At 41.2% G+C, this 13,183-nt stretch overlaps 1 annotated feature.

The window, feature by feature from the left end:
- Positions 11,620-12,819: an enhancer, noted in NCBI's record as "BRD4-independent group 4 enhancer chr10:4140042-4141241 (GRCh37/hg19 assembly coordinates)". NCBI's record gives its function as "activates an origin of replication core promoter dependent on BRD2, P300/CBP, MED14 and CDK7 cofactors, and independent of BRD4, by STARR-seq in HCT116 cells {active_cell/tissue: HCT116}" and the evidence as "EXISTENCE:reporter gene assay evidence [ECO:0000049][PMID:35650434]".

The raw sequence follows: 13,183 nt of genomic DNA on the forward strand, positions 1-13,183 counted from the left end.
ATTTGGATGGATGACAGGGAGAAAAATGTCATTTTTAACAAAACTGTTCATTTCTCCTTATATCACTTCCTTTCACCCGAGTTTCCCAACATAGAGAGTGATTCCATCCGATTGCCAAGTCCCAGTCAAGACATTTCAATGGTTTTGAAAATTCATTCTCCTTCTTGACTCTTATCCAACCTGGCCACTTTCCCATTTCCAAGCGTGTGAAAGACGTGTCCCCTTCAGCTTGGTGCGGACATAATATTTGCTTTTCTCCAGACCCTCCCAGCAGACCCACAAACCTTCTCCTTCCTAGGAGGCTCCAGGTCGTTATTGTTCAAGCTTTCGTCACTCCCATTCATGAAGCTAAACAATCCCAGCCCCATTCATAAGGCTTCCCAGGAGTTTCTATTTTTACTGCCGCAATTCTCTACATTCTTTCTCACAACCGTGCAAGTCTGTCCCAGGCAACCTCTTTTCTCTCCTGTCCTTGCCCTCCTCCTCCTGTAATCATCCCGTCCCTCTTCTGCCTCCCCCGCTCCCTCATCTCATTCCTTTACTCCTTGTTGGAGCATCGGAGGAACCCCAGCACTACTCCCCTTCCCTAAGCTCACAACGTCTTCTTCTTCTACTCTTATCTCATTTCTCAAACTGCTTTTGTTTCTCAACCAAGATACTCTAGATCATTTAGTAGTGGTGGGTCCATTTCCTTACCTTTTCTGTTTTTTTAATCCAACTAAGTTTGCCAGTCTATGGCTCCCTCTTAGGCATCCCATCATTAAACTCACCAACTCCCTCTCTCAGTGAGTCAAAAATGCATTCAATATCCCTAACTCATCAAGTTGCGTAGATCAGCCTAGCCTAACTTAGATGTGCTCGGGACGCTTACCTTAGCCTACAGGTGAGTAAAATCACCTAATACAAATCCTATTTTATATAAAAACAGGGTTGAATATTTTACGTAGTTTATTGAATGCTGTGCTGATGGTGAAGAACAGAGTGGTTGCATAGGTGTAATCATAAAGTCAAAACATTGTAACTTGAACTGTCACAAGTCAGAAACTGCAACTTTACCATAGTATGCATACAACGCACATAACCATGACCATGCCGACTTTTCTTTCTTTTTTTTTTTTTTTTTTGCAGACAGTGTTTCACTCTTGTTGCCAAGGCTGGAGTGCAGTGGCGCCATCTCATCTCCCTTGCAATCTCTGTCTCCTGGGTTCAAGTGATTCTCCTGCCTCAGCCACCCTAGTAGCTGGGATTACAGGCACCCGCCACCACGCCTGGCTAATTTTTTTTTTCAGTAGAGGTGGGATTTTGGGGTTTCGCCATGTTGTCCAGGCTGGTCTCAAATGCCTGGCCTCAGACATACACCCACCTTGGCCTCCCAAAGTGCTGGGATTACAGAGACCATGATGTTTTTTACTTTCAGCACAGTATTCAATAGATTACATAAAATATTTAACACTTGCTTGTGCTGAATGATTTTGACTAACTGTAGGCTAATCGAAGCGTTTTGAGCATGTTTAAGGTAGGCAAAGCTAAGCTATGATGTTTAGTAGATGAGGTATATCAAATGCATTTTCAACCTAAAATATTTTCAACTAACAATGGATTTATTGTGATGTAACTTTACTGTAAGTTGAGAAGCATATGTACGTGTGTATACAGATACCTATATAGAGAGATATCTATAGATATAAATATATAGACAGATTGATGATAGATAGGTCAATAGAGCAAATCTTGCTTTAGGAAAATCTGAAACATCTTAATATCCCTTGGAAACAAGATGGTGTAGTAAGCTGTTCCGGCATCACTATAAAGAAATATCTGAGGCTGTGTAATTAGTAAGAAAAGAGGTTTAGTTGTCTCATGGTTCTGCTGGCTGTACAGGAAGCATAGGGCTGGCATCAGCTTCTGGGGAGGCCTCAGAAAGCTTCCAATCATGGGGTAAGAAAAAGGGGGAGCAGGTGTCTTACATGGCAGGAATGGGAGCTAGAGGGTAGGGGGAGGTGCCTCTGGATTTAAACAACCGGATCTCACAAGAAATCACTCACTGTTGCAAAAACAGCACCAAGGAGGGATGGTGATAAGCCAATCATAAGAAATCCACCTCCACGATCAGTCACCTCCCACTCATAAGAAATCCACCTCCATGATCAGTCACCTCCCACTCATAAGAAATCCACCTCCACGATCAGTCACCTCCCACTCATAAGAAATCCACCTCCACGATCAGTCACCTCCCACTCATAAGAAATCCACCTCCACGATCAGTCACCTCCCACTCATAAGAAATCCACCTCCATGATCAGTCACCTCCCACCAGGCCCCGCCTCCACGATCAGTCACCTCCCACCAGGCCCCGCCTCCAACACTGAGGATAACAGTTTAACATGAGATTTGGGGGAACGAATATCTAAACTATTTCAATTAATAATGGGCTAATAAAGCCAAGTCAACTCTTATGGGAACATCATCGGACGCTTGTCAAGATATTAGGGAAGAATGCTGAGAGAGGGGGTGGAGCGGGCACACGGAAAGAAACAGAGATGGGAGCACTCTCCACCCTCACAGCACCATGAGGGAAGTAGCCTTGACCTTGATATTCCCACAGGAACTCAGGGTGCTGAGCTTGTATTGCCGACATCATCATTTTTCTGAACAAGCCTGGGTAAGTCTCTACTGCCTGTAAACAAAAGAGGCGTGGCTAGAATGAAAATCATGCTAGGTGAAGAATCGTGATGCAAATTGGCTTTTATGTATTAGGCCAACTTTGTAAAAGATAAGCACACAAGAAAGAAAACTAGAAGCATGGCCAGAAAAGATAGCATCAGTTCCACTAGGGTGGGGGGAATAATGGGAGCTCTCCTCCAATCTTTTCCAAACTTTCTGTATATTAATTTAATAATGAAAATAGTTTTGAAAAGAAGGCACAGTATAAAATCTTGTGAAATCCAACAGTGGAAGTCATTTTCCAGATTGATATATTGTCTGTCATTTTATAGACCAATAAAATGAAGACATCCCCTAGTGCACTTGGATGTCTCTACAAGGCTTTTGGTGTTTGAATATTCAGGGGTACAGAAAAATGTAAGGTGTTAGCAAGCACTGCTCACCGATACTCAGACAGAAACACAAATAAATCATTCTGAAACGATGGCAAAGGGCAGGGTGTGTGACCTTATATTTAAAAAATCTTAATTAAAATAAGTAATATTTCTCTTAAACCAGTAGAAGCATATTTAGAGATTTGAGTGGGATCTGCGTCTTAGAACATCTGTATATGGTGACAAAATAAGAGTCAGTGAAAGAATCAGTTAATTGCTTTATTTGGATTTAATGGGTGTTTTGTTTTTCAGACTCTTTTTTTCTATCAATTAATTTATTGGTTAAGCATTTTATTAAAAGGTTAAAAGTAACTTAATAATTTGTGTTTGGCATTAATTAAAAGTATACTTGGGTCATGCAGCTAATAATCCCATGTATTAGCCTGGACGCACCAATAAGGACACACACATCCCCATTGCCTCCTCTCATTTTTCCGGAGAATGCTCTTCTTTCCTCTCCAGGTTCTACTCCCGCGAGACCCTCATGAAGTCCTGAGGTTGCCTCTCGTGCACGTTCACAGGGAGCTGGAAAGCAGACATACCCCATGAGGCTGGAGGACTTCATCAGTCCCAAGAAACACGTGAGGCCTCTCAGTAGGATGCTGCAGGGCAGAGACCTGGTTCTGTAGCTGACTCCAAGCCTGGCTAAGGAGCCTCTGGGCTGTGGATACACCACCTACAGCTGCTCATCAGGTGCAGGGCACCAGATTCCCAAATTCTGCTGAGGTTTTTACTCTGGTCTGTCACTGACACTGGTGCAGAACTGGTCCTGAACAAAGTCACTGTTTTACTTTGTCAAGGATATTTTCATGCCCGAAATGAGCTCAGGTGCACTTCAAATCTTCTCCCACAGCCACTGTCCCCAGGACACGGGGCTGGATACCCAGGTTGAGAGAGGCTCCAGCACGCCCACACCACGGACCCAAAGCCATCCTACTTCAACCTTCAGGCTTAGGGTGAGGCCCTACTCACTGGGTCCTGTTTCTTTCCACCCCAACTGTGACTCCATTTCAGATGCTTTTGCTCCACCTCGGCCTTTGTGTGAGCCAAATCTGTCCACCTCAGGGAGTTTCCTTAAGTCTGAATTCTCAAGGAAGCCTTTGGGATCTCGATCTTTTCTGCGCAAAATGCCTTAATTTTGGCCGAGTGAGGTGGCTCACGCCTGTAATCCCAGCACTTTGAGAGGCAGGGGCGGGTGGATCATCTGAGGTCGGGAGTTGGAGACCAGCCTGACCAACATGAAGAAACCCCGTCTCTACTAAAAACACAAAATTAGCCAAGCATGTTGGCGCAATGGCTGTAATCCCAGCTACTCGGGAGGCTGAGACAGGAGAATCGCTTGAATCCGGGAGGTGGAGGTTGCCGTGAGCCAAGATCACGCCATTGCATTCCAGCCTGGTGCACTCCAGCCTGGGCAAAAAGAGCAAAACTCCATCTCAAAAAAAAGGCTTAATTTCTTTATGTGAATTACCTCTCCCAGTAACCAGAATTCTAAGCAATTTTCTTGCAGAATAAAATTAAAATTGTATTAATTCACTAAATATTCCAGTCAATCTAAATTGAAGAGGCCAGAAGACCCTGTGGGCGTGTTGTGTGCTTTCCTTGGGCATCCCTCTTACGAACTCTTGGGATGGGACTTATCTTCTTTCCTGGGCACAGCAGACAAAGCGTCTGAATCTGGGGGTGGTCAACCTCCAAGAAGTTAATAATTGCCCTTTAGTGTGAGATTCAGAAAAGCACAGTGCCTGGAGGGACCTAAGAAAGAACGTTTAGTTCCTGCAGACCACTGGGTTCCCGGAGGCCCCTCTACTCCTCCACTGCTTCCTCCCTCCCCCGTTGGGGCTCAACTACTGAGAAGGTTTTGTCACTGTGTTTTAGGCTTGTTTTCTAGAGGAAGCATGCGATACATGGCATTAAAATATTTGTGCCACAATCCAGAAAATTATGAGTTCAATAAACCTTTCAGTATAGCAATTTTCACACCACAAAATAAAAAGAAATGAATTATAAGTGAAAACATGAGGTATTTGGACATAAAGATGGGAACAGTAGACACCAGGGACTAGTAGGGGAGAGAGGGAGGGAGAGAGGCATGGGCTGAAAAACTACCTGTTGGGTAAAGTGCTCACTACCTGGGTCACAGGATCTGTATCCGAAATCTCAGCATCATACAATACACCCATGTAACACACCTGCATGTGTAAATAAAATTGAAAGGAAAAAAAGTAACTACTTAAAGGTGAACTATTAGAACATAACCCAATGATAAGCTGGGACTAACTGCTGTCCACGAAGCATAGAACCATTCATGGACTAGATCATTTTCTTGGTGATGATCTGTCTGAATATTGAGCTACAATACTCATTGGAGGAGATCTTTCAGAAGGCCCTCTGACACAGCCACTAGGTCAGGCTTTTTGAAAAACTGAACTGGGGAACACACTGGATTGGATGCACCCAGCACGTATGCACACATTGTATGACTAGAAAGCAGAATACTATAGCATATAGTTCTTTATTTGAATTGTCGTTTTCCTTGTGAGCATAAATTCTAGGATTACAGGCACAATTTTAAAAGACATCTATCAATATTGGACTGGCATGATCCTCCATGTTTCAGTTTACTCCATATCCTGTTATTAGTTCTGTAATGGTATATATCAAAATTTACAGTGGCCTCATAGGTAGGTGTCCAGCCATTTTCAGAAGTCTTTGTCTTGAAATTCTTGGATGATTTCTAAGATTTAATTTATTTTTAAATGCTTGATTTCCTTCTATGCATATAAATATATATAAATATTGTTTATACATATACATGCGTGTATATATGTGTGCATATTTGTATTTTTATGTACAAACTTATAGACACACACATATACCTTAACTTGAGAGAATGGAGATTTCAGCAGAGAAAATTGTAGAGACATGGCCATGAGACGTGTGTTTATTTGTAAATGACCTTTGATCCCTTCAAATGTAGAGAAACGTAAAGGACATTTGATGGCCATAGACTTGGAAAGATTTTTTTTAAATACAATCATCTTGCTATATTTTGGTCTTTGAAAAAAGTCAATTTTAGCACAATGGAGAAACATATTTGGAAGACATTTAGGCTGTGAAAGCTGAGTTTTGTTGATATTTATGGGCAGAGAAAACTTCCTTTTTGACTATTGTTCTGCAGGGCCAGAGACAGATTGATCAGTTCTAGTGTTTTTGAAGAAAAATTACTCTCTTTGTGGCTGACGAGCTTCTGGGAGGCAGGAATTGTCCCAGTCATCTCCAGCACCCAAAGGAATGCCCACCGTTTAATAAACATCCCATACGTTTTTCTTGAATGAATAAAAAAATGTAAGACGTTCTACCGATATATGGTACTATCAGTTTCTAGGCATGGTTCATGCCCCAATTAAATCAGTTTCAGGAAGTAGCCTTTTTTGAAACACACAAAATCTTGAAAAATGCTGGTGAAAACATAAAAATTATCTGGGAAAGTCATAATGGGAGAAATGGCTCAGAGTCCGTGATTTTATGGTCTAGAAGAGCATAGGCTACCAGGATGATGACAGTGCTCTTCATGTAATGAGTGTGGCTCTGCCATATGAGCCAGGGAGCTTCAGGCTCTGTGACTGGACCAACCAGTGGAAATTATAAGGATGTATAATTTAGATATAAACAGACCCTGATATTTATTTTCCAACATTAGAACAGGCTATCACGTGAGATAGGAAACATTACTGGAAGCATTCTAATGAAAGTTAGATAAAAATTTGAGGCACAGCTGGGCATGGTGGCTCACGCCTGTAATCCCAGCACTTTGGGAGGCTGAGGCGGGTGGATTGCTTGAGGTCAGGAGTTTGAGACCAGCCTGGCCAACATGCTGAGACCCCATCTCTACTGAAAATACAAAAATTAGCTGGGTGTGGTGGTGCACGCCTGTAATCCCAGCCACTTGGGAGGCTGAGGCAAGAGAATTGCTTGAACTCGGGAGGTGGAGGTTGCAGTGAGCTGGGATCTCACCACTGTACTCCAGCCTGGGCAACAGAGCAATACTCTGCCAAAAAAAAAAAATGAGGCATGTATTGTGGAGACTATTTCTTCTGTATCAGGTGAGAAGGAGGAGACCTCAGATCCAGTGTCTTAGAAAAAACAGAGCGTCTTTCTCCTTTCTAATCCTATGGAAGGGGCTGATGCCACAGGTGTGGGTCCTGCCCCACACATCTACACTAGGACTCCTGCTTTTTTACCCAGTTGCTTTGTGGCATCTATCAAATATGAGTCATTAGCTTGCTGGAGGTCCAGGCGGCAGAAAAGGGAAAGAGCATTATTTCAGCCAAGTGGTTTGCCTCTGTGTTGAGGATGACCTTGACATTTCACAGACTTTATCCATTTACATTCTCTGACCCAAACCTCATTACGAAGGTACCTCCACTGAGCGGAGGGTGGAAGCTTTGTCTCCACTGAGCAGAGGGTGGAAGTTTCGTCTACAGCTGGGGGATCAGGCCTCTCACAAAAATCCCTTCCCTATAGGAGAAAGGAAGGCTGGATTTAGGGGAAAACCTGGGCAGTGGTCTGTTTTTTACAACAGAAAACAATGGGGTCTCTTACTCAAATACTACTGCAATCCTGCATGTGCATTCATTTATTTGTTCTTTTAATAAATATTAATGGATTAGCTACTACGTACCCAGTACTGTGTTAGTTACTGAGATATGCATACAGATAAATTATGCTTCCTGCATTCAATAAGCTTACACTTTATTTTTAAAGTACCTTTAAAAATAGCTATAACTTAAAAACAACAAATCACCTAATTCAAAAACTGACAGAGATATTTGAATTTCTCCAAAGAAGATACACTAACAGCAAAAAGCCACCTAAAAAGATGCTCAACCTCACTAATCATTAGGGAACTCAAATCAAAACTACCATGAGATGCCACCCTACACCCATTGGGATGGCTGCTATCAAAACACCAGAAATCAAAATGTGTTGGTGAAGATGTGGAGACATTGGAGCTCTTGTGCACTGTCCATGGGAATGGAAAATGGTGCAGCCGCTGTGGAGGACAGCATGGCGGTTCCTTAAAAAGCTGAAAGTAGAATTACCCTGTGATCTAGCAATTCTGCCTATAGGTTTATTCCCAACAGAACTAAAAGCAGGCTCTTGGCAGGGCATGGTTTCTCACATCTGTTATCCCAGCACTTAGGGAGGTTGAGGTTAGAGGATCCCTTGAGCGAGGAGTTTAAGGCTGCATTGAGCTATGATTGCACCACTGCACTCCAGCCTGGGCACAGAGCAAGACCCTGTCTCTAAGTAAATAAATCAATTAAATAAAGTAGGATCTTGAAGATATACTTGTATAGTCATTTTCATAGTACTCTTCAAAATAGCTAAAATGGAAACAACCCAAATATCTATTCACTTATGAATTGATAAGCAAACTGTGGTCTATTTATACAATAAAATATTATTCATCCTAAAAAGGAAGAAAATTCATACATATGTTACAGCATGGATGAATCTTGATGACATTATGCTAAGTAAAGTAAGCCATTCACAAAAAGACAAATGCTGAGGATTCCATTTACATGAGATACTTGGAGTAGTCAAAATCATTGAAATAGAAAGCAGAAGAGAAAGTCGTCACGTAATGCATATAGAACTTTGATTCAGCAAGATGGAAAGAGTTATGGAGATAGATGGTGTTGGTAGTTGCACAATATTATGAAGGCATTTAATAACACTGAACTACACACTTAAAATGGTTAAGATATACATTTATGTTATACATATTTTACCACAATAATCAAATTGGAAAAATAGCTATAATTCATTGATTTATGTACAATCTATAAGCAAATTTAAGGTACAACGAGCAAGAAAAGACACAATCTCAAAAAGGCCTGGAAGAATCAAAGACAATGACATTTAAAGTGTCTTAAGAGTGAGAAAAAGAATCCCATTAGCCTTTAAGGAGGAAATAGTATTCTGGGCAGACGAAAGCATTTGCAAAGCCCAGAGGCATGAAATAGCACATCGCATTTCCAGAAATGGAGAAATGAATGGAAATGGGGATGAGGAGAAACATGGAATGACTCATTCCACCATGGGAAGAAACTTGAACTTGATTCTCAAAGTCATGAACAGCCATTCAAATAATTTCTAAGTGGGATAGGCTAAGATTTGCATTTAATAAAAATAGCTGAACTTAAAGATATGGATAACAACAACTTTCCGGTAAGGAATGATAAAGATAGAGACAAAGGTCCCATTTGTGTGAGGTTTTCTAGGTGCGATTGTCAGTGTTATAACATGTTGCATTATTTCCACTCGTTGCCTTTGTGTCTGCATATAAAGGCTCACTAGGTTAGGGCTTGGAGGACTTCACATGATTTATAATGTACTTAGCACATTGCAAACACTTAATAAATACCACTGGAATGAATATGTAGATTGAATTTGTAGATCTCTCAGTCTTCCTCACAGCCAGCCTAGAAACATTTAATGTAAGAAATCTCCCTATAAATAGGCTGTGATAATCCATATAAAGTTGTGAAATATGTGCAAAGTGCAGTTTCATAAACATTTCAATTTTAAATAAGTAGAATCGATTAAAAAATACATCCCCCATGCAAAGTAAAATATCAGTTCAGCTCGACAAAATTTTTCAGCTTTTGTTATATTCTACACAATGTACATCTATTAACCTGAATATCTACAACTTTTTCAATCCTGTTGCAATTTTGTTGATTATGCTTTACTTAAGTGCTAAATGAGGCAAACCAAGTGGATTTGGCCCTGCTCTGTTTAAAGATTGTATTTACAAATAAAGATTGAATATATTCAAGTTGTACATACACCCATTATGGAAAACCACATCCAGTTCCTCAAAAAATTTGCCAGCAATCCCACTTCTTGGTATATACCCAAAGGAAATCAGTAGGTCAAAGAGATACCTGCACTTCCATGTTCATTGCAGCGCTGTTCACAGTAGCCAAGATATGGAATTGACCTGTGTCCATCAGTGGATGGATGGATAAATGAATGGTGGTGTACATATTCACACATTGTTGGTCAGATTGATTGAGTGGCTGACCAAGTGGGAACATTTGCCAGCAACCTGTCAGGGGTGGGAATCCGGGATGTATTTTTTGAGAGACCATTATTGACAAATCTTTCACGTCTTCCTATCTAGACATTAACAGCAATTTGCTTAGATTTATTTAAATGTTAAATAGCATAGACAAAGACCTCCTCTCCTTCCCAGAAAAGATGTGCTTACATCTCCGTGTGCTACAGGTAGCATCTCTCCATGGAGGGGAGGATGGCAGGGTGACCAGAGCCCATGTCAGATGGGGTTGTCCTCGGCGGGGCTACAACCTGTGTGCAGCCTCTTTCTGCCCCTGCCTCTGCACCCTCTCATCGGGATTAGGGACCGGGAGAATCAGTGTTGAGCAGGAAGCTCCTGCTGCCCATTGTGTTCTCGGTAACAGATTTCCCAGGTCCACTGGGCTCATTGTCTCATTACCAGTTGGTTCAAAGTGTGACGAGCTGACCCAGCAATGCCGTTCAGGAAGCTCAAGAACCACCCGACTGCCTCACAGCTCTCAGCTTATGCCATGTGGGACCTTGTGTAGGTTGGGCTCAGGCAAGAACTGAGGGCCTCAGTTTGTCAGCTGTGAAATAAGTGAGTAGTTCTTTATTCTGACGTGCAGAATCCTGGCCCCATCGGATTGTCCTGTCAGCCTATTTCCTTCAATCTATGGTCAAACATGCCCCACCATCACCTCTATTAAGGTTTTTTTAATTCCAAGGGATAAATTTCATTTATTTCAGGACTATATATATATATGTCCTGAATATATAGATATATATATAGCCCTGAATATATGTATATAGTCCTGAATATGCATATACAGTCCTGAATATATATATATACACACACACACGCACACACACATATATATGTATATACCCTACCATTACTCTCTTATAAAATTTTGGTGTGCCCTCCATTTAAAAAAAAAATATATATATACACATACATACATATATGCATATAACTATTGTGTGAATGTGTGCAAGATTCACTGAAAGAAACATTACTTTTTTTACTTTCTCTTAAATACAAATCCACTTTTATTTGGAGGCTCAGTGTGAAAAGTCAGCCCTATGACAAACATGAAAACCTGCCCCATGACCTCCAAGTGGAATCCCTGCTTTTGTCCTCATTCATTTTTCCTCCAAGGGCAGTTACCATCTCAGTGATTGTTACAGTGGTGTATTGTCTAAATTTCTATTTCTTTCAAATGACATAAGCCTGTTGCCTTATAAGAAAAATATGAAGGCAACAGAGCAGATCCCCCTTGAGATTGAATAGAATTCTATCTTCTTTGCTTGTTTATGCAATGAGAATGAAGTTGGCATTTCCCTGAGGTCGGATGCAGAGGTTGGGCATAGGAGGTGAATACAGTCAAATTTTAACTTCGCATTCCATTGAATTTAAAATCTTGATGGTTTGCCTGAAGGTTATGCTCTCAGAAATGGAAGCTCTACCCTTCAGACCCTACTTATGTATTGCTATCTCCAAGGAATCAAGCTCTCACATTTCTAAGTCCTCTTTTCCACCTTTATTTATTTTCCTCTTTTTTTTTTTTTGCCTTAGCACTTATCACCTTCTCACATATTGTATGATTTACTTGTTTATTGTGTTTATTGATTGTTTTCTGTTTCTACCTTACCAGAAAGTCAATTCGACAAGAGCAGAGATCTTTGTCTATCTTGTTCTCCAGTGGAATCCAAAGTGCCTAGGATGATGCTTGGCATACAGTAGGAGCCTCATAAATATTCACCGAATGAATAAATGACACTTGTTTCTATTCTGGAAGACGTTTAAAATCCTGTGTATAAGCAAGAAATTGATTAGTTGCATTAGTTTCAGATAGACTGATTATTGGAAAAGTGGTCTCAGCCTCAGAAATCCTGTCTCAGAGGAATTCAACAGTGGTTATAAGGACAGTATTTTGGTACTATGGACACCTGTCCCCTAGAGACTGAATCGCAACCCACCAGGTTCATAGAAAAAGGAAGTCCTTAGTAAGGCATGGGAATCTCACCCTGTGTTCAGCGGTGGGGACACCCAGATGATGATGACATACCAGGGCTGTCAGACAGCACCTCTGTAATATCGATGACAGTTTCCATTTTTGCCTTCGTCTCTGCAGGGTGCCGTATCCCATGGGTGCCTTCGCCAATGGTTTCCCAGTTCACTGTCATTGAGCTGGTCACATGCAAACCTTGAGCTTTCGCTGATTCCCAAGAGACTCTCCTTGTTAGGCTGTAACAACAAGCAGCATTAGACGGAGTCCTGAGAGGCAGGCTGTGAGGACAGGAGAACAGCATGGACGTTCTACCTCCAGGACACCTTTCACAGAACCAGCTTCGGAGTTTGTTGTGTGACGATTTTAATTTGTTTTTAAAGGTGATGTTGATGTTCTGGTTATGGTGAATCCTAGTTCTATAGGAAGTTATAGACTTATCATCACTCCAGTAATTGCCAAAAGTGGCAGCTGATAGTGTGAGAAAGTGGCAATTTTGGCAGCAATTTAACTGGATAAGATCTGCAATGACTCTAGCAGGTAGGTAACAGAGTGAAAGCACTTCCTTGTTTCTCAAACCACTCAATGTATGATGTCCGCTGCTTATCAGATTCCTAATTCAATGGTGTTTTTCTTCTACATAGTTTTGCATTCAAACTCGGTCGGTAAACATGTAATCCAATATCCCACATTTTGAGAATAGACTGAAATTGAGAAACAAAACGTAGAAAATCAATTATGACAACATCAAGAGTTTAATGGGATTTCTCATTCAAACTAAAAATACAAAGTTCAGGGGATCCCTGGAACTTCTTCCATTTAACTTTAGGGAGTTCCATTTTTATGCCATCCCCTCATCAGTTTTCTGTGTTTTGATATTGATGCATTATCCTCATTGAAGCCTGCAGTTTCACTGGATATGTGCCACATTGTGGTGTTTTGTTTGCCTTGGTTACATTTAGCCATAAAGATGATGGAATGATGAAC

The sequence above is a fragment of the Homo sapiens genome, chromosome 10 (assembly GCF_000001405.40).
Source record: "Homo sapiens chromosome 10, GRCh38.p14 Primary Assembly".
NCBI classification, from domain to species: Eukaryota; Metazoa; Chordata; class Mammalia; order Primates; family Hominidae; genus Homo; species Homo sapiens.